Below are 16,805 nucleotides of genomic sequence, written 5' to 3' on the forward strand. Positions count from 1 at the left end.
TCTGCTTCGTTTTGGCTGCAGTTTGAGTCTCTCCTACTGACTGTTTCATGGCCTCATCTTGAGCCCCCATTGTTGCCCAGGGTAGGAAGTCCTTCTCCCCTAAACTCTGGGCCACATATGCCTGGACCCTGCTGGGTACTTCTCCTCAGATCTCTTTTTTTTTTTTTTTGAGACAGGGTCTCACTTTGTCACCCAGGCTGGAGTGCAGTGGTGTGATCTCAGCTTACTGCAACCTTTGCTTCCTAGGCTCAAGCGATCCTCCCACCTCAGCCTCCCGAGTAGCTGGGATTCAGGTGCCCGCCACAATGCCTGGCTAATTTTTGTATTCCTCCCACCTCAGCCTCCTGCGTAGCTGGGATTCAGGCGCCTGCCCTCAAGCCCGGCTAATTTTTGTATTTTTATTAGAGACGGGGTTTCACCATGTTGGCCAGGCTGGTCTCGAACTCCTGGCCTCAAGTGATCCACCCTCCTCAGCCTCCCAAAGTACTGGGATTACAGGTGTGAGCCACCATGCCCTGCCGGCTTCTCCCCAGAGCTTTATGCCATGCCTTTGATGGGCACCTCTTACCTCCTCCCAGCCTAGGAACTTGCATGAAAGGGAACTATGTCCAAGTCAGTTTTGTGTCCCTAGCACCAGGGAAGAGGATGGGGGTTGCTGAGAGGGACAGGAAAGGATTGGGGTTGTGCTGTGTGCCCTGGCGCCTCTACCAAGCAGAAACCAGCCTTCCCTGTCTGCTACTGTGAAAGCCCAAGGTTGCCCTTCTTTGGGGGAGTTGAAAGAAAGCGGGTGTTTGTTCAGCACACTTGGGAGCACTGTGTGCCAGGGCTGGGAGATCTTGGGTGAGGGTACTCACCATGCTCATTACCTTGTAATGGGGTTAGGGGTAGCCTGTCCCTATGGAAGCTTGTCCTTGTTCCCAGGGAGGGTCAGGAGCATGGGTTGTGAAGTCAGGTAGATCTGAGCTTGAATCCTGGCTCTGCCTTTTCATAGCTGTGTGTGCTTGGGCCAGCAATGTGGTGTCTCTGAGCCTTGGTGCCTTATTCTACAGAGGGATGATAGCAGGGCCTTCCTCAGTGGGGCTGCCAGGGAGTGCCATGAGGCTGTGTGTGTAAAGTCCTGGGTGATGCCTGTGTGGATCCCAGGGAGCATTGACCTGTGTGTGCTCAGATCCTGCCTGCCGGGACCTCCTAGACAGCGTGAGGGGTGGGGTGTCAAGTGGTGGCTGGTGGCTGCGGCTGCGGGGAGCAGCTGGTTTGAGGCAGTGCTGAGGCTGCAGCAGGGAAGAGACTCACCGCCACATCTTCCAAGGAGAAAGCTGGGCGGGCAGCCTGGGAGGGCAGGAGGTATTGCTCAGTGGGACAGGAACCTTGATTATCAAACGGCAGGGTTTACTGTGCCCCTCTCATTATCAAACTGCAGGGTTTGTTATCATACAGCCTCTGCTGTATGGCCAGTTTATCTTCACACACTCCCTGCTCTATGGCCGGTGCTGGAAAGCCCAGGGCCCCATAAGCTCCCAGCAGGCAGTGGGGAACCCCCCTCCTGTGTCCAGGCATCTACATGTGTCCTCTCCAAGCTGCCCCTTTTCTCAAGCCGAGATCATCTTGCAGAAATGTTGGTCAGGGTGGGTCGCTCCCCACCTGCCATTCCCCTGGACTTGCCCTGCCTCCTATGCCCCTTCCCCTTGGCCCCCGATATCTCCCCCAGCGGCTCCATCTCCACGCCGCGCTTTCCTCAGGGTTTGAGCATGTGTCTCATCAGCCTCTCGCCCACTGGGCCAGGTCAGATCTGTTCTTTTTCCTGAATCTACTGAGCATCCAGCACCATGCCCTCCTGCATACGCAAACGGGTATCCCTCAATACCCATTTAAAAATGGACGGGTAATTTACATACAGGCAAGTGCACAAACCTTCAATGTACAGGGTAATGAGTGTACTTAGGCACTCGCCTGTATAACCAGCACCCACAGGGAGATTTAGAACCTCCTCAGCCCCCAGAAGTTTCCTGTGTGCCCCTTTCCAATCAGCGGCCTCCCTAGAGGCAACCGCTGTCTTGCTGTCTGTCACTGTAGATTAGTTTCATCATTTCTGAAGTTTCATATAAATGGAAACGTGCTGAATGTGTCTTTTGTGGGTGGGTCTTTCACTGTCCTTGCCATCTTGGATATTCATTCATGTTGTGTGTTAGCAGTGATCTGTTCCTTTTTACTGCTGAGTAATTTTCTGTTGTGTGAATATATGAAAATTTGTTTATCCATTTACTCATTGCAGGATGTTTGGGTTTGCAGTTTGACTGTTAGGATGAAAGCTTCTCTGAACACTTGGATAGAAGTCATTTGTGGACACATGTACTCATTTCTTTTGGGTAAATACCTGAGATTGAATTGCTGAGTCATTGGGGAAGCATATGGTTTGCTTTTGTCCACACTGCCAGGCAGTTTTCATCATGGTGGCTCCATTTTACATTCCCACTAGCAGTACATGAGAGTGAAGAGCTGCTTCTCCTCCTTGTCAACACTTGGTATTTTCATTTTAATTTTAGCCATTCTAGTGGTACAGTGGAATCTCTATATGGTTTTAATTTGCTGGTGGCTAATGATGTTGAGTATCTTTTTCATGTGCTTATTGGTCATTTTGGCATCCTCTTTGTTGAAGTACCTGTGTAAGTCTCTTGTTCATCTTTTAATTGGGCCATTTGTCTTTTTCTTATTGGTTTGTGGGAGGTCTTTTTTTTTTTTTTTTTTTCTGAGACAGAGTCTCACTCTGTTGCCCAGGCTGGAGTGCAGTGGTGTGATCTCGGCTCACTGCAACCTCTGCCTCCCAGGTTCAAGTGATTCTCCTGCCTCAGCCTCCCAAGTAGCTGGGATTACAGGCTCATGCCACCACGCCTGGCTAATTTTTGTGCTTTTAGTAGAAACGGGATTTTGCCATGTTAGCCAGGCTGGTTTCAAACTCCTGACATCAGGTGATCCGCCCACCTTAGCCTCCCAAAGTGCTGGGATTACAGGCATGAGCCACCATGCCAAGCCTGGGAGATCTTTATATATGCTAGGGAGGAGTCTTTTGTCAGTCATATAGGATGTGACTTTCTCCTAGTCAGTGGCTTGTCTTTCCCCTCTTTTGATGATGATGATGTCTGTTCCTTCTCTGCTCTGGGACATTTGCTAGGGAGACATTTGCTGATAGGAGGGCGACCCTGATGGGGAGGATCCCCTGAGGTCTCCCACTCCCTCCTGTGGCCTCTGGAGCAGCCTGGAACCCTGTGTGAGTCCTATGCCTGTCTCCACCAGATGGCAGACCTTAGATCACCTGCTAGTTCCCTGCATGGGGCCTGGCACAGAGACAGCACCTAACATGTTCAGTTCCTCCTGATCAGTATGTGTGGGATGTCTACTCTGTGACCAGCTGGGGCTGGACGCTGGGGACACAGCTGTTGATATTACAGCTGCCCTCCCATCTCTGCCCTCCTCAAGGATATAACCTAGGAAAGACAGACCAGCAACCAGTGGTCACAGCACAGAGGTGCTGTGATGGAGGAAGGTGCAGGGGTTAGAAGACCAGAAGAGGGGTGTCTGACCCTGGATGTGGGAGGTGGAGGAGGTACACCATTGCTTTGAGGAGCTCGTAATCCCAGGATGCCAGTCACATGCTCAGAAGGGCTCCCTGAGGACCAGGTGCTGCTGTGGCCAGCGGGCTGGAGGCCTCCCCCTCTGTTTTGGGAGTCTCCACTCTCTCCTCTTAGCCTCTCCTGATCTGCTCCCTCGCCACTGAGCGCCCCATGATCCCAGTGGGGAAACTGAGGCCTGGCATAGCAGAAGGGGTGCTGGGGTTTGATTCCCAGCCTCATGGTGCCCAGGGATGTTGGGGGCTCTCCAGGGACTCTGATTTTGGAATAGGAGCCCCAAGGATGGGCCTGCCCCTGCCCTGCTCCCAGCATGGGAGCGTAGGTGAGATGGAGAGGCAGTGGGCTGGGCTGGAAGATCTTTGACCTCTCCTGGGCCCCTCTCAGAGGTGGACGGGGCCACCTTACTACATAGATAGGGAAATTGAGTCCCAGGAAGGCGCGGGGGGCCTGTCTGTGAGCGTCAGAGCCCACAGGAGGCTCAGGCCAGGCCGCTAATTGCTAATTGCTCACTAAGGATGCATTTGCTCCCCACTTTGAACAGTTGTCTTGGGGCTTCTAATGGAGGTTTTTGGTGCTTGTTTTATTATTATTTTTTCAAAATTGTTCCAGCTTCAAGCTTCAAATTTCCATGAAGTCATTGGAGCCCGACAGCTCCCAGGCCTGGCAGCTCCCAGGCTGCGGAGAGCAGCACTGTGGCTGGGGGAGGGGGCCCTGCACACCCCGAGAGGCTGGGCTGTGGGCTGTGCCTTAGCCTTGCTGCCGCCGCCGCCGCTGCTGCCGCTGCCGGAGCAGGAAGTGGTGGGTCCCAGATGTGACTCACTCTCATTAGGTAGCGTGGAAGGAGCCTTCGGATGGGTGAGCCTGGGCGCGTCTGAGGAAGGGCAGGCGGGGGCCGGGCCACCTCCCTGCAGACCCTGGCCGGCTGCTGGGGCCGGGGAGGAGAGCCAGGTAAAAGTGGGGTGTGGGGATGGAGTGTCACCAGTCCTAGTGGCTTGAGCCCCAGGGGACGGGGCTGGACAGTGGGTGGGAAGCAGCTCACCCGGCAGCCTGGCCTGGGAGTGCACTGGGCAGGGTCTGGGCTGGGGGAGTAGGAGGCTCCGTGAGCCTACTGGGCAGATGGCTGGGAGAGGCGGCCCTTCAACAGGGGACCAGAGGCGACTTGTCACTGGCTTTTCCCAGCCTGACAAGAAAGTGCGGTTGTGACCACAATGTTGTACATGTGGCCCGTTCCATCTGGAATTCTAGGAACCACAGACTCTCAAATGTCCACACTCCTTCTCGAGGGTGTAATTTTACATTTACAAGCACACATGACTTTTCTCAATGAAAGGAAACATTGGCAAGGGAAGGCCAATTCAACTAATTTTATGAAATTATAAAACAAAAAACAAACAAAACCTCTGAAAGGAGTGCATGCCTGAGGGTCAGGAAACCAAGATGCCTCCAAAAAGCAGACTGGTTTCCCTTTCCCTGCAATGCCTCTCCTCTATCCCCCAGGGACCGCATGGGCCATCTGGAGTGGGTCTTTCTGGAGCGGGTCTTTCTGGAGCTTTCTATGCATTCATCTAAACATGTATGTACAGAGGGTGAGGCAGTTGCCTCTTCTCTGTGTCATCACATCAGGGTCAAGGGCAGGGACATCTGTGGCTGGGGGCTTCCTCCCTGGACAGCCATTGCTGGAGAGGAGAAGGGAGGGCCGGGAGGGGGAAGCCAAGGGCCTGGAGGTAGGGGCCAGGCCGAGCCACCTACGACAGGGGCCCTGGGTCCAAGGCCTGGACGGGCAGCCAGTGTGGGCTGGATGTGTCTGGAAGGGCTATGTGACCGTGGGCCTTCACTAGCATCACCATCTTGCAGATGGAGGCTGTGAGGGGTGGACTCAACACCAGTGTTTCTCGGAGTGAGGACCGGGCTGCCCAGGGAATCACAGGGGGTTCTAGCCTGTGTGTGGAAGGACATGTTTAAAATCTAAGTATTTGTCTTGGGGAAAAAAAAATCTGTAAATAGGACATTGCCATTGTGACATCATGACTGTATTATTGTCTTAGACGAGGCCAAAGGAGACATAAAAGTGACAAGCCAGCCAATTTGAGAGGAAGTGCCAAGTGCCAGCCCTGCAGGAAGTGCAGGAGGCTGAGGGGGCTGCAGCTCAGGAAGGCGTTTGCTGCACAGCCTTCGCTTCCCACCCAGTTGTCTGTCTTCCCACCTCCAGAGGCCCTGGGTTCCCAAGGTTTACCTGCAGCTCCTGGTGCAGAGTGTGGGGGAGGGGAGGCTCTCAGATTGTTCCAGATTCTGTGGCCCTCAGAAGGGCAGGTGTGAGCTTTGTGGAGGTAGCGTCTCCGGTGGTATTTTCTTTCTTTCTTATTTTTATTTATTATTATTTTTTGAGATGGAGTCTCTGTCTGTTGCCCAGGCTGGAGTGCAGTAGTGACCCTCTTGGGTCACTGTAACCTTTGCCTCCTGGGCTTAAGCCGTCCTCCTCCCTCAGCCTCCTGAGTAGCTGGGACTACAGTTACCACACCACTACACCTGGCTAATTTTTGTATTTTTAGTAAAGTAAAGACGGGGTTTCACCATGGTGGCCAGGCTGGTCTCAAACTCCTGACCTCAAATGATCCATCCACCTCGACCTCCCAAAGTGCTGGGATTATAGGTGTGAGCCACCACCCCCAGCCTCTTTTCTTTTTTTAAGACAGGATCTCACTCTGTCACCCATGCTGGAGTGCAGTGGAGTGGTCATAGCTCACTGCAACCTTGAACTCATGAGCTCAGGCAATCTTACCGCCTCAGCCTTCTAAAGTGCTGGGATTACAAGCATGAGCCCGACGCCCAGCCTTCTAGTGCTGTTTTCATGAAAGAAGCAGCTGTTTACTAGCAGCTGTTTTCCGGGTGATGAGGGTGAAGGTGGTATTGCAGAACATCTTTGCCAGGAGTAGGTCTGGGAGGTTTGCTTGAGGGCATGGAGGTTGGTGTAGGGAGAGCTCAGGAAGTAGAAATTGGGCTGGAGTGTGGCCTCTGGACAGGCCACAGGAGAGTCTCAAAAGGAGAAAAGATCCCAGCACTTTGGGAGGCCAAGGTGGGCGGATCACTTGAGCCCAGGGGTTCGAGACCAGCCTGGGCAACATGGCGAAACCCCGTCTCTACAAAAAATACAAAAATTAGCTGGGTGTGGTGGCGTGTGCCTGTAGTCCCAGCTACTTGGGAGGCTAAGGCAGGAGGATCCTTTGAGCCCAGGAGTTGGAGGCTGTAGTGAGCCATGACTGTGCCACTGCACTCCATCCAGCCTGGGTGACGGAATGAGACCCTGTCTCAAAATAAATAAATTTTTCAAAAGAGACAAAAGTCCGACTCGATGGTTGCACTGGGGACATGCACCCCACTCTACAATTTATAGCTACTGATTTGACCCATTCCCCACCTCCTCCACCGCTCCATATGGTAGGTGCCGTTCACCTCCAGTTTACAGAGGAGACAGGGCCCAGAGGGGCTGTCTATCCTGAATAACCCAGCAGATCGGTCCTCAGGCATCCAGTTGTGCCCACCACAGTGTGGTCTGCTGCCACATTTGAGCCTGGAGTCAGGGCCAGCACACTGTGTCTTTGGCGAGATCAGATGGGGCAAAGCTGAGAACAGGGGCTCTGGTTGGTGCTGAGGGATTCGTGGGGGTGGTCCTTACTGGGAAGATGAGGAATTGGGCTCCTGTGAGGGCCTCCCCTACCCTGCCCTGTGCCTGGACTTCGCTGGGCCCACTGCGGGAGAGAAGAGGTAGGACGAGGCCTTCTGCGTGGCTGGGCCAGGGTGGGCTGTCTCACGTGCTTTCCTGGATGTGTGGTTGGGTCATGCCTTAGCCAGGAGGTAGGTGGTTTGTCCACTCCCTGTCATTGCAAGGGTCACAGAGGTGGCTGGGTGGCCTGACCCTCAGCACCGCTCCTTGCCTCCCTCCTGCTGTCCTGGAGGAAGAGGATGTGGACTTGTTCATACTGAGGTGACACAGCATCCTCTCTCCTACCTCTCCCACTGCCCAGGGAGAGAGCAGCGCTTAACTCCGCTGGAGAAAGTTCCAGGCCTTTGAGGGAGCATGCAGAGTGGGTCACAGTGGATGCCTGTATCAGAGCAGCCCATTCTAGCCTTTCATGGGGTGGGAGGGAGGCATTTACTACTTTTAAAAGACACGTGTGGCCAGGCACCGTGGTTCACACCTGCAGTCCCAGCGCTTTGGGAGGCTGAAGTGGGCGGATCACTTGAGCTCAAGAGTTTGAGACCAGCCTAGGCAACATGGCACAACCCCAACTCTAGGAAAAAATTACAAATATTAGCCAGCATGGTGGTGCATGCCTGTAGTCCCAGCTACGCAGGAGGATTGCTTGAGCCCAGGAGGTGGAGGCTGCAGTGAGCTGAGATCATGCCACTGTACTCCACTCTGGGTAATAGAGCAAGACCCTGTCTCAGATAGATAGATAGATAGATAGATAGATAGATAGATAGATAGATAGATAGATAAACAGATAGATAGACACATGTAGCCAAGAGCTGGAAGTTAGTTGGAACTGGAGAATGAGACCACATCTGAACACCAGCCAGAGAAGCAGGGGTCTTCCAGAGGTTATCCGGTCCAGCATCCCGCCTCCAGGCAGAACTGGACTGTGCTCTGGTCCGGCGGCACGGGTTCCAGCTCTGTTCTGCCTCCTCCCAACAGCGTGTGAGATGAGCAAGGGATGGAGCCTGTTTCTTGCACCTGTGAAATGGGGTTGGTAAAGGTACCCCCTGCATCAGGTGGTTGTAAAGATTAAATGAGCTGATGCACACTCTGCTCCTGGCACAGCGGAGGCGCTACCTAAGTGGAAGTGTGCGTCACTGTCGGTGTCGTGAGGCTCTCGTCTGCCTTGTCCTGCCTTGGGTGGGAGATTGGACCTCCCTGGGGGAGCCTGGGTGGTGCAGGCAGGCAGGGCTGAGCTGAGCAGCCTCCCTGTCACCTACATCCCTCGGACTAATCATTTTCTTTCTGTTCCTCAGTTTCCTTATCTGTAAAATGGGGCTGATGGCAGTGCTCAGGTAGGTTAATGGGAGGGCTAGCTGGGTGAAAACCCTTCCCAGGCACCTGACACTGGTGTGCCCAGGCTGAGAGGTTGCCACACAGTGGCTGGAGCCCCTCCAGCTGTGTGTGCCGGGGATCCCGCCAGCCCCCTCATCTGTGCAGTGGCCCCCTCCCCACCAAGGACAGTAGCATGGTGTCACCCGGCTTGCCATAGGCATCTGGCCTGACCTGCTGCTGCACACGGATTTCTCAACTGGCCACATCATGGCTAGGGCATTGCCCAACCCTGAGTGCAGACCTGCTTGGCCGAAGCACCCTCCGTTCCCTGCTCTCCCCTGGAAGCCTGGAAGCCTTTCTAGAAGGGACCAGTGTTGGGGTGGAGAAGGGTTGGGTGGTGAGTCTGGGACCAGAGCTCCGTTCCTCTTTGGTGGCCTTTTTCCTTGGAATACCTAGGACCGTGCTTTCCTGCCGCCACCAGCTCTCTCATTTTTTATTTTGACAGGGTCTGGCTCTGTTGCCCAGGCTGGGGTACAGTGGCCTGGTCATAGCTCACAGCAGCCTCGACCTCCTGGGCTCAAGAGAGCCTCCCACCTTCACCTCCCAAAGTGCTGGGGTTACAGGCATGAGCCACCACACCCAGCCTGTCCTCTTTGATGGGCCAATTTCACAGGCATTTTCTGAGCACAGCACAGCCCAGTGCTGCCGAGATGAACCTGAGCAGACTCTGTGTTAGGATGGGGTGGGGACGGCTGACCTTGGGCCTGGGAGAAGGTCCTCCCTGTTCTAGAGCACAGCCATCTGGTCAGTTTCTCCTGGCTTGTGAGGCCCTCCCAGACCGGGCCTGACTTCCCTCCCCACTCCCGCCACTTGTCACCGTTATCCACTCTGGGCCAGCCCCCCTGACATTTTCACTCCCAGCTTGGCTATCTCCTGCCCCTTTCCTGCCCTTGGCCCCCACAGTTCCCACTGCCTGGGGTGTTCTCCCCAACTGCTGCTTGGCTGTGTCCTCCAGGTGAGGGCCTCCTTCAGGGGTCCTCCAGCATGGGGAGAAGAGGGGACCCAGCCGGCTCTGCTCTTGAGCTGTTCACTCAGCCGCCTCCCCCACCCCCTTGGCCTTGCTTTGAGCCCCTGTCTTGCTGTGGCTGGGGCCCAAGGGACGCCGGGATACCCTCTTCTCACCATCCTCCCTTTATGTCCCTGTTTCCCCCACCACCGCTGACCACTGGAAGGGTGAACCCACGACTGGGCCTGAGGGAAAGGGAAGCCAAGGGAGGTCTTTGGTGCAGGTACCCCCGTTTCCAGTTGTGTTTCCTGGCCCCAGGCTCTGCCCATTCTTGCCTCCTCCCAGGGTATCAGGACATGCTGGAGGTGACAGGGCAGAAGGAATGGCCATGACCCTCAGACACAGGCCTGTACCCTGGGGAGGAGCTCATGTCCCTGGAAGGCAGAAGGTACCTGCAGTGGGTGATGCCACCACCCGCCTTCTAGGGCCCGGATCCCTGGAGGCCGCTGGACCCAGGGCACCCTGATCGGGGTGCTTTGTCTTCCAGGCCCCAGGCTCTTCCTGCCCTCCAGGGTGCCCTTCCTGCCCCTGTAACTGGCCAGCTTTCCTCATGCTGGCCTCTGAAACAACCTAGTCACACTGCCTCGGGCGCAGCTGACTGAGATCATTGCTTCCTGGAGTCACCGACTGGCTGGGCAGGGAGAAGCCTAGCACCCTGGGATGCAGCTGCTCTGCACAGATGGGGAAACTGAGGCCCTGGGAGCTCTGCAGCCTTGGGGCTGGTGTGTCTTCCTGGTGGGAGCTATGTTGGAGTTGCAGGCCCTGCCCCATTCACAAGCACATCCCTTGGCCTCACTCATGGGAGGGATGTGGACTGGGGGCCAGTCTTGTGGGCTTGTCTTGGTCCTGCTGCTGTTCTTGGGAGTCTGGGTCTCCCTCCTCCTGGGCATCTCCTTGCTGGAGCAGGGGTCCAGGGTGCTGGTGTAGGCTGGGATGAGACCTCCTTCTGTGTGTGTGCGCATCTGGCTCCTGGGCCCCCAGGCCTGTCTCCGGTACCCCCTCTGGCTGGGAGGAGGAGCCCTTTTAAGCTGTCTGAAGGAGCTATTTTAAGGGGGGCCTGGGCTAATGGGAAGTGGCCTCTTTTGATATACCCAGACTCCCTGGAGACACTGCTCCATCCCCTGGGGGCAGGGACCAGCACTTCTGTATCCCTTTGTCAGGCTCAGCTCTCCTGGGCATGGGTACAAGAGCAGAGCTGCCCTTTGGGGGCAGGCAGGAAGTGAGGCTGAGACCCTGGTACTGAAGTGTGTCCCCAGTGCCTGTTTATGTCACGATTTCTCAGGCTGCTCACCCTGGTGTCTGGAGCTGACTGGGGTGGCCCTGGGTGATGGTACTTGCTGTGTGCCCACATCTACGTGAAGCCCCTGAGAACTGGTATTGTTACCAGTCCATTCTGTGGGTTAGGAAACTGAGGCCCAGAGAGGTTCAGGAACATGCCCAAGGTCACACAGCTCCTCCAAGGTGGAGCTGAGATTCACGGCCTGCTGTTGGATCTCAGAGCTTGTGCTCCCAACCACCATGCTTTCCTGCCTTCCCCTTCTGCCCTGCCCTGGCATTTCTTTTCCTCACTTGGCTCATTTATGACAATCTGCCCTCCTCCTGGCATGAGCTCCTCAGGGGACCCATGCCTGTCCTGTGTGTTGTAGCAGCAGCAGTGCCTGCACCTGCTGCAGGCAGGAGCTCAGTGGCACTTGGCAGATGGGGGTCTGGTGGCACCAACATGTGGCCTCTTTCCTGGTGGCAGGATGGGCCCCTTTCCATGTGCAATGGGGGTTTATGAGGTTTTATAGCTATGAGGTCACGTCACTGCTAGAATAGGCCATGGAGCGAAGAGAAGGGTTTCATCCCCATTGCTCAGGTGAGAAACTGAGTCCTGAGAGGCAGGTCACCTGCCAGAGCTCATGCAGTTGGGACTGGGGATTCCAGGGTTGGGGCCCAGTCCTTAGCTGCCAGTTCAGTGCTGGCTGTACCCCCCAGTCTGTGGAGTATGGGGTTTGATGTCCCTGTGTACCAGGCAGGGTTAGATCCTGGGAGCTGGGTAGTGCATGGCTGGACGTGCAGCCAGGTAGTGACAGGTCAGGGTAGCCTGTGCTTCTGTGGGAGGTGCAGGCCCTGGGGAAGCTAAGGAACAAGGCCAGACTGGGAGGGGACCAGGCAGCCTTCCTGGAAGAGGTGGCAGCTCAGGTTGGCCCTGAAGGGCGGGCAGGAGTTCGCCAGGCAGAAGGCATTTGGAGGTGAGGAGGTGGGCGTGTTTTTAGATTGCCGGAGCTGGAGATGAAAGGGTGGGGCTTGTTTGGGGAACCGAAATCAGCCAAATCACGCAGCCACAGAGGAGGCCAGGGAAGCTCTAGAGGCGTTTTTTGGCCAAGGGGTGAGCAGAGATCGGGCTTGGTGTTTTGGGGGGTCCTGGGTAGGTGTGGGAGGCCTCGTTTCGGGGGCCACGGGGCTCCTGTGGCGTGAGACTCCATCACAGTGACCTCCTGTGCCCAATAGCTCCGTAAGGGCAGGGTTTGTGGAAGGAAGGAGTGAGTGACCGGGAATGGGGTCTTGGGCTCCAGGGACAGCCATGGCGAGGGCTCTTCTGTGTGGGTGCAGGTCCGGAAGCTGGGGCTGTGGTTGGTGGGGGAGGCTGGGTGGGGCTGCTTCCCCTGCAGAAGGGCTCTTCCGGGCTCTTGGCGCGGTTTCACGAGGCAGTCCCCTCTGTGTCTCTCGTGCCCCCTAGGCCTGGATCGGGTTCTCAGGAAGCCTCGGGGAAGTGAGGGTCTTAGCGCCTTGGTTTGGGGCTGGGCACTTTGCGAGCTGGTGTCATGGAGGCCAAACTGGGGGCCTCCGGGCCAGGTGGTGGCTTCAGGCTTGCTGTTGGGACAGGAGGCCAGGCTAGGCAGTGACGCCTCACTGAGCTCCATGGGTGGCACGCTGAGCTCTGGGTGGGAGAGGCCTCTCCCACTGACCTCTCTGTGACTGGCTTCTCTGCTGGTCTGAGTGGGAAGGGCCCTCAGAGACCCTGGAGGCCTTTCCTGCCCTGGAGGAGTCAGGCCCAGAGAGGGTGAAGAATTGCCCGAGTCACACAGCTGGTGACAGGGAGAGCTGGGACTGTACCTTACATCACCTGACATTCAGCCCAGGGCTCTATTCCCTGCACTGTGGCAGATGGGGAAACTGAGGCAGGTGGGCCACTCCTCTGCATTCCATGGGAGAGGCAGGAAATTCGACAGGAGCCCTTTGCCGGGTTGGCACTTGGAGCTGTTTTCCTGCTTGCTTTTCCCCAGGGCAAGGTGCTTCCCAGCTGAAAACTGCCTAGGGAGGGTGCTGTTGAGACCGTGAGCACCTGAGAGCCCTGGTCTTTCACTCAGGCCTCTCCTCTCACCTCCACCTGGGAGGCTAAGCTCAGGGTAGGTGTCCTGGCCCACAGGCAGGTGCATGGGCTGGTCCCGCCAGCACCTGCAACCTTCTTGTGCGCAGCTAGCCCAACCTGGGGTCAGGTGGAGGTGGGTAAGTGGGGCCCCCAGCATTAAAGAGCTTCATAGGCTGTCAATTAAGGGGAGGCTAGTGGGCTCTACAGGCCACAGCTACCCAGGGAGCCTTCTTAGGGGAGGAGTTCCTAGGTGGGTCTCAGAGACTCCAAAGTCAGCATTTCCCAAAGGAGGTTCATTAGGGATTCAGTGCAAAAAGAGTCTCATTAACAAAAGGATGGGGAAATGTTCAGCTGTGTTTAATTCAGCAGGCTTCTTTCCTGCAGGACTTGTCAGAGCCTTTAATTTGCTAATGTGTATGGGGGATCTTTAAATGGGGAAGAGGAGAATGTTGAGCTCAGCACCACCTGTGACCAGAAATGGCTGTGGATGTGTGTGGCTGCGCATATGTAGCTTTTCATGTTCCTGCTTTTGGGCAGAATGCACCTCAGGAAATGCAGATAGAGAGTTAATCTGCACTGGGCCTTGGAGAGGGGCAGGCCTGGGTTCGAATCCTAGCTCCACTGTTTCCTAGCAGGTGGGCTTTGGGCTTGGAGGTTAAGGTCCCAGAGTCAGTTGCCCTGGCTAGAAATGGAGCGAGAGCACCCCCGCCCACCACCCTTGGGTAGCCCAGCCCATTCATGGTTCTCTGCAGGTTCTCAGAGGAGACAGCCAGCCAGGTGGTTTTTGGCCCAGTTTGTCTCCCGGCTGGGCTCAGAGGTCGCAGAGCTTGTCTTGAGGCCTGGGTACTGTGCCGTCTCCTGCCAGCAAGCCTGGAAGGCTTGGGCCGAGGACCCGACTCTGCCTGGGATGTCACCTGTGAGCTCCCTCCAGCTCAGACCAATATCACCACCTCCCTCTGACCTGGGTTGGGTGGGACGGCTGCTCCCTTGAGGCCCAACTAGGCCCTACATGGAGGGGTCAGCCCACACTGCCACTCATGGCCCTGGAAAGCCGGCCTGAGTTGCTGACCAATGTTCTCTCTACCTCCCAGAGGCTGGGCACTCACAGACCAGAGTAGGGGCCGGGCCTCCTCACCCCCAGTGCTGCTGGCTCATGGCAGGGTTGAGGGGTGGGGACAGGTGCCGGGCCCTCTCACTTCTGCACCCCATGGCCCTTTCTGACATCTTGGTGATGCATGCCATCTAGACTGGGGCATTTTGCGCCAGGGGTGGCTCAGTACACTGCTTGCATCACCCCCAACTGAATCCTTTCAAAATCCTGTGGGGTAGGACTGTTATTCTCCTTTTGTTAAAATGAGGAAACTGAGGCACAGAGAGTCTGTTGGGTCATGTAATGTATTATTTGTTTTAATATTTAATTTATGAATGAGTGAGATGGAGTCTTGCTCTGTTTCTCAGGCTGGAATGTGGTGGCACAATCATCACTTGCTGCAGCCTTAACCTGAACTCAGGAGGTCCTCCTGCCTCAGCCTCCCAAGTTTGCTGGCTCTACAGGCATGTACCACTGTGCCTGGCTTAGTTTTAAAATTTTTTTAGAGATAGCATCTCACTACGTTGCCCAGGCTGATCTTGAACTTTTGGTCTTAAGCAGTCCTCCTGCCTCGGCCTCCTGAATAGCTGACATCACAGGCATGAGCCAATGTACCTGGCTAGGTCATGCAATTTAGGTGTGATGGGCCTGGGATTCATTTTTCCTATTACACATTTTTTTTTTTTTAGTCACATAAGCAACACACTGACAATAGGAATAGAAACTGAAAATGAGAAGTGGGATTTATCCACTCTGTGAAATCAAGAGTTTTGGTTTTTCTGTGTCCTGGTTCCATCCTTATTTGTTCCAGGCATTGCCATGTGGATTTTTCACAGGATACCCTGTGACGTTAGTTTCAAGTGGCCTCAGGCTTTTTGACAGCTGCATAGTATTCCATTGTAAGGTTGTATCATAATTTATTTCACCAGTTCGTGACTGATAGGTATATTATTTTCAATCTTTTGTTATTACAAATAATGCTTCAATGACTAATCTTGTACTTATGTCATTTCATACTTGTGACAATGTTTGTACGATACATTACTCAAAGTGGATTTGGTAGGTCAAAAAGCAAATATGTCCTTCAGTGACTTTGTTAGGTATTATTAAACTACCTTCACTGGGGGTTGTACTGACTCACATTCCTGCCCAGGAGGGAATGTGAGTGACTGTTTCCAACACAGACTTATGAGACTTATGAAATGCTTTGATCTTTGCCCATCAGATAGGTAAAAATGGTTTTCCATGGTAGTTTTGTTTTTGTTTTAAAGATGGGGATTTTGCTATGTTACCCAGGCTAGACTCAAACTTCTGGGCTCAAGTGATCCGCCTGCCTCAGCCTCCCAAGTAGCTGGGACTATAGGTGCATCCCATTGTGCCTGGCTACCATGGTAGGTTTTTTTTTTTTTTTTTTTTGAGGCGGAGTCTTGCTCTGTCACCCAGGCTGGAGTGCAGTGGCACAATTTCAGCTCACTGCAAGCTCTGCCTCCCAGTTTCACGCCATTATCCTGCCTCAGCCTCCTGAGTAGCTGGGACTACAGGCACCCGCCACCACGCCCAGCTAATTTTTTGTATTTTTAGTAGAGATGGGGTTTCACCGTGTTAGCCAGGATGGTCTCGATCTCCTGACCTCATGATCCGCCCACCTCGGCCTCCCAAAGTGCTGGGATTACAGGCTTGAGCCACTGCGCCCGGCCTACCATGGTAGTTTTAATTTGTGTTTCATTACGAGTGTGGTTAGCTTCCTTCCAAATGCTGTGGGTTGGTTGTGGGTTGCTTTTTTTTTTGAGACAGAGCTTCACTCTGTCACCGAGGCTGGTTTACAGGCATGATCTTGGCTCACTGCAATCTCTGCCTCCTGAGTTCAAGCGATTCTCGTGCCCCAGCCTCCCAAGTAGCTGGGATTATAAGCATGCACCTCCACACCTGGCTAGTTTTTGTATTTTTTAATAGAAATGGGGTTTCACCATGTTGCTCAGGCTGGTCTCGAACTCCTGGCCTCATGTGATCTGCCTGACTCAGCCTACCTAAGTGCCAAGATTACAGGCGTGAGCCACCATGCCTGGCCCTTCCAAATGTTTAACAGTCATTTAGATTGCCTTTTCTATGAACTTTCTCTTCCTAGTCTTCTCCCATTTTTCTATTGGGCTATTGGTCTTCTTTTTTATTTGTGGGAGCTCTTTACATATGAAGGAGATTAGCTCCTTGTGATATGAATCACAAATGTTCCCCTAATCTGTCACGTGTCTTTTGATTGTGCTTTTGGTAATTTTTACCATGTATATTTTGTTTTTTCATGTAACTGAACTTATCAGTCTCTTCTTTATGGCTTTTGGGTTTTGTGTCAGGATAAAAAGGCCATATTCACTACAGCATCATATGAGAATTCTCCCATAGTTTCTTGCTCTCTTTGGAAATAATCCTGGTATAAGTTGTGAATCCAGCTTGCTTGCTGTCTTGTGGATGCTGCCTTTCTAAACAGAATACTAGCAGCCTAAGAGTTAAGACTCAAATGCACATCTTTCCTGTCCCCTTCAGGACAGTGGTTACTCTGGGTTGCATCTGTCCATGGGCCCGTGAAATGGATCTCTCTCTCTCTCTCTTTTTTTTTTTTTTTTTGGCAGAGCCTCACTCTGTTG

General features: G+C 54.2%; 1 protein-coding gene across 30 annotated transcripts in view, besides 8 other annotated features; it reads left to right on the plus strand.

Moving 5' to 3' along the window:
• The window catches only part of ADCY7 (adenylate cyclase 7), a 73,437-nt gene that overhangs the window by 17,408 nt on the left and 39,224 nt on the right, over window positions 1-16,805 (plus strand). For 10 of the 30 annotated variants that reach the window (XM_011522839.3, XM_047433558.1, XM_011522835.3 and 7 more), the window contains exon 1: window positions 12,025-12,092. The exons of 7 other annotated variants lie outside the window; for them this stretch is intronic. The gene's annotated coding sequence lies outside the window, so the exon portion shown is untranslated. Of the gene's footprint in view, window positions 1-4,444; window positions 4,575-8,641; window positions 8,676-12,024; window positions 12,093-16,805 lie in introns of those variants that run through there. 13 more of the 30 variants (XM_011522842.3, XM_047433557.1, XM_011522836.3 and 10 more) reach the window with 3 other exon arrangements.
• Window positions 39-108: an enhancer, noted in NCBI's record as "active region_10811". NCBI's record gives its function as "activates an Ori minimal core promoter by ATAC-STARR-seq in GM12878 lymphoblastoid cells {active_cell/tissue: GM12878}" and the evidence as "EXISTENCE:reporter gene assay evidence [ECO:0000049][PMID:35858748]".
• Window positions 2,342-2,521: an enhancer, noted in NCBI's record as "active region_10812". NCBI's record gives its function as "activates an Ori minimal core promoter by ATAC-STARR-seq in GM12878 lymphoblastoid cells {active_cell/tissue: GM12878}" and the evidence as "EXISTENCE:reporter gene assay evidence [ECO:0000049][PMID:35858748]".
• Window positions 3,589-4,182: an enhancer, noted in NCBI's record as "H3K27ac-H3K4me1 hESC enhancer chr16:50299606-50300199 (GRCh37/hg19 assembly coordinates)". NCBI's record gives its function as "activates a minimal SCP1, AML or CMV promoter by ChIP-STARR-seq in naive H9 embryonic stem cells {active_cell/tissue: H9 hESC(naive)}" and the evidence as "EXISTENCE:reporter gene assay evidence [ECO:0000049][PMID:30033119]".
• Window positions 3,589-4,217: a biological region, named in NCBI's record as "H3K27ac-H3K4me1 hESC enhancer GRCh37_chr16:50299606-50300199".
• Window positions 4,128-4,217: an enhancer, noted in NCBI's record as "active region_10813". NCBI's record gives its function as "activates an Ori minimal core promoter by ATAC-STARR-seq in GM12878 lymphoblastoid cells {active_cell/tissue: GM12878}" and the evidence as "EXISTENCE:reporter gene assay evidence [ECO:0000049][PMID:35858748]".
• Window positions 9,195-10,029: an enhancer, noted in NCBI's record as "H3K27ac-H3K4me1 hESC enhancer chr16:50305212-50306046 (GRCh37/hg19 assembly coordinates)". NCBI's record gives its function as "activates a minimal SCP1, AML or CMV promoter by ChIP-STARR-seq in naive H9 embryonic stem cells {active_cell/tissue: H9 hESC(naive)}" and the evidence as "EXISTENCE:reporter gene assay evidence [ECO:0000049][PMID:30033119]".
• Window positions 10,030-10,864: an enhancer, noted in NCBI's record as "H3K27ac-H3K4me1 hESC enhancer chr16:50306047-50306881 (GRCh37/hg19 assembly coordinates)". NCBI's record gives its function as "activates a minimal SCP1, AML or CMV promoter by ChIP-STARR-seq in naive and primed H9 embryonic stem cells {active_cell/tissue: H9 hESC(naive and primed)}" and the evidence as "EXISTENCE:reporter gene assay evidence [ECO:0000049][PMID:30033119]".
• Window positions 12,276-12,345: an enhancer, noted in NCBI's record as "active region_10814". NCBI's record gives its function as "activates an Ori minimal core promoter by ATAC-STARR-seq in GM12878 lymphoblastoid cells {active_cell/tissue: GM12878}" and the evidence as "EXISTENCE:reporter gene assay evidence [ECO:0000049][PMID:35858748]".

Source organism: Homo sapiens, chromosome 16 (genome assembly GCF_000001405.40).
Source record: "Homo sapiens chromosome 16, GRCh38.p14 Primary Assembly".
NCBI classification, from domain to species: domain Eukaryota; kingdom Metazoa; phylum Chordata; class Mammalia; order Primates; family Hominidae; genus Homo; species Homo sapiens.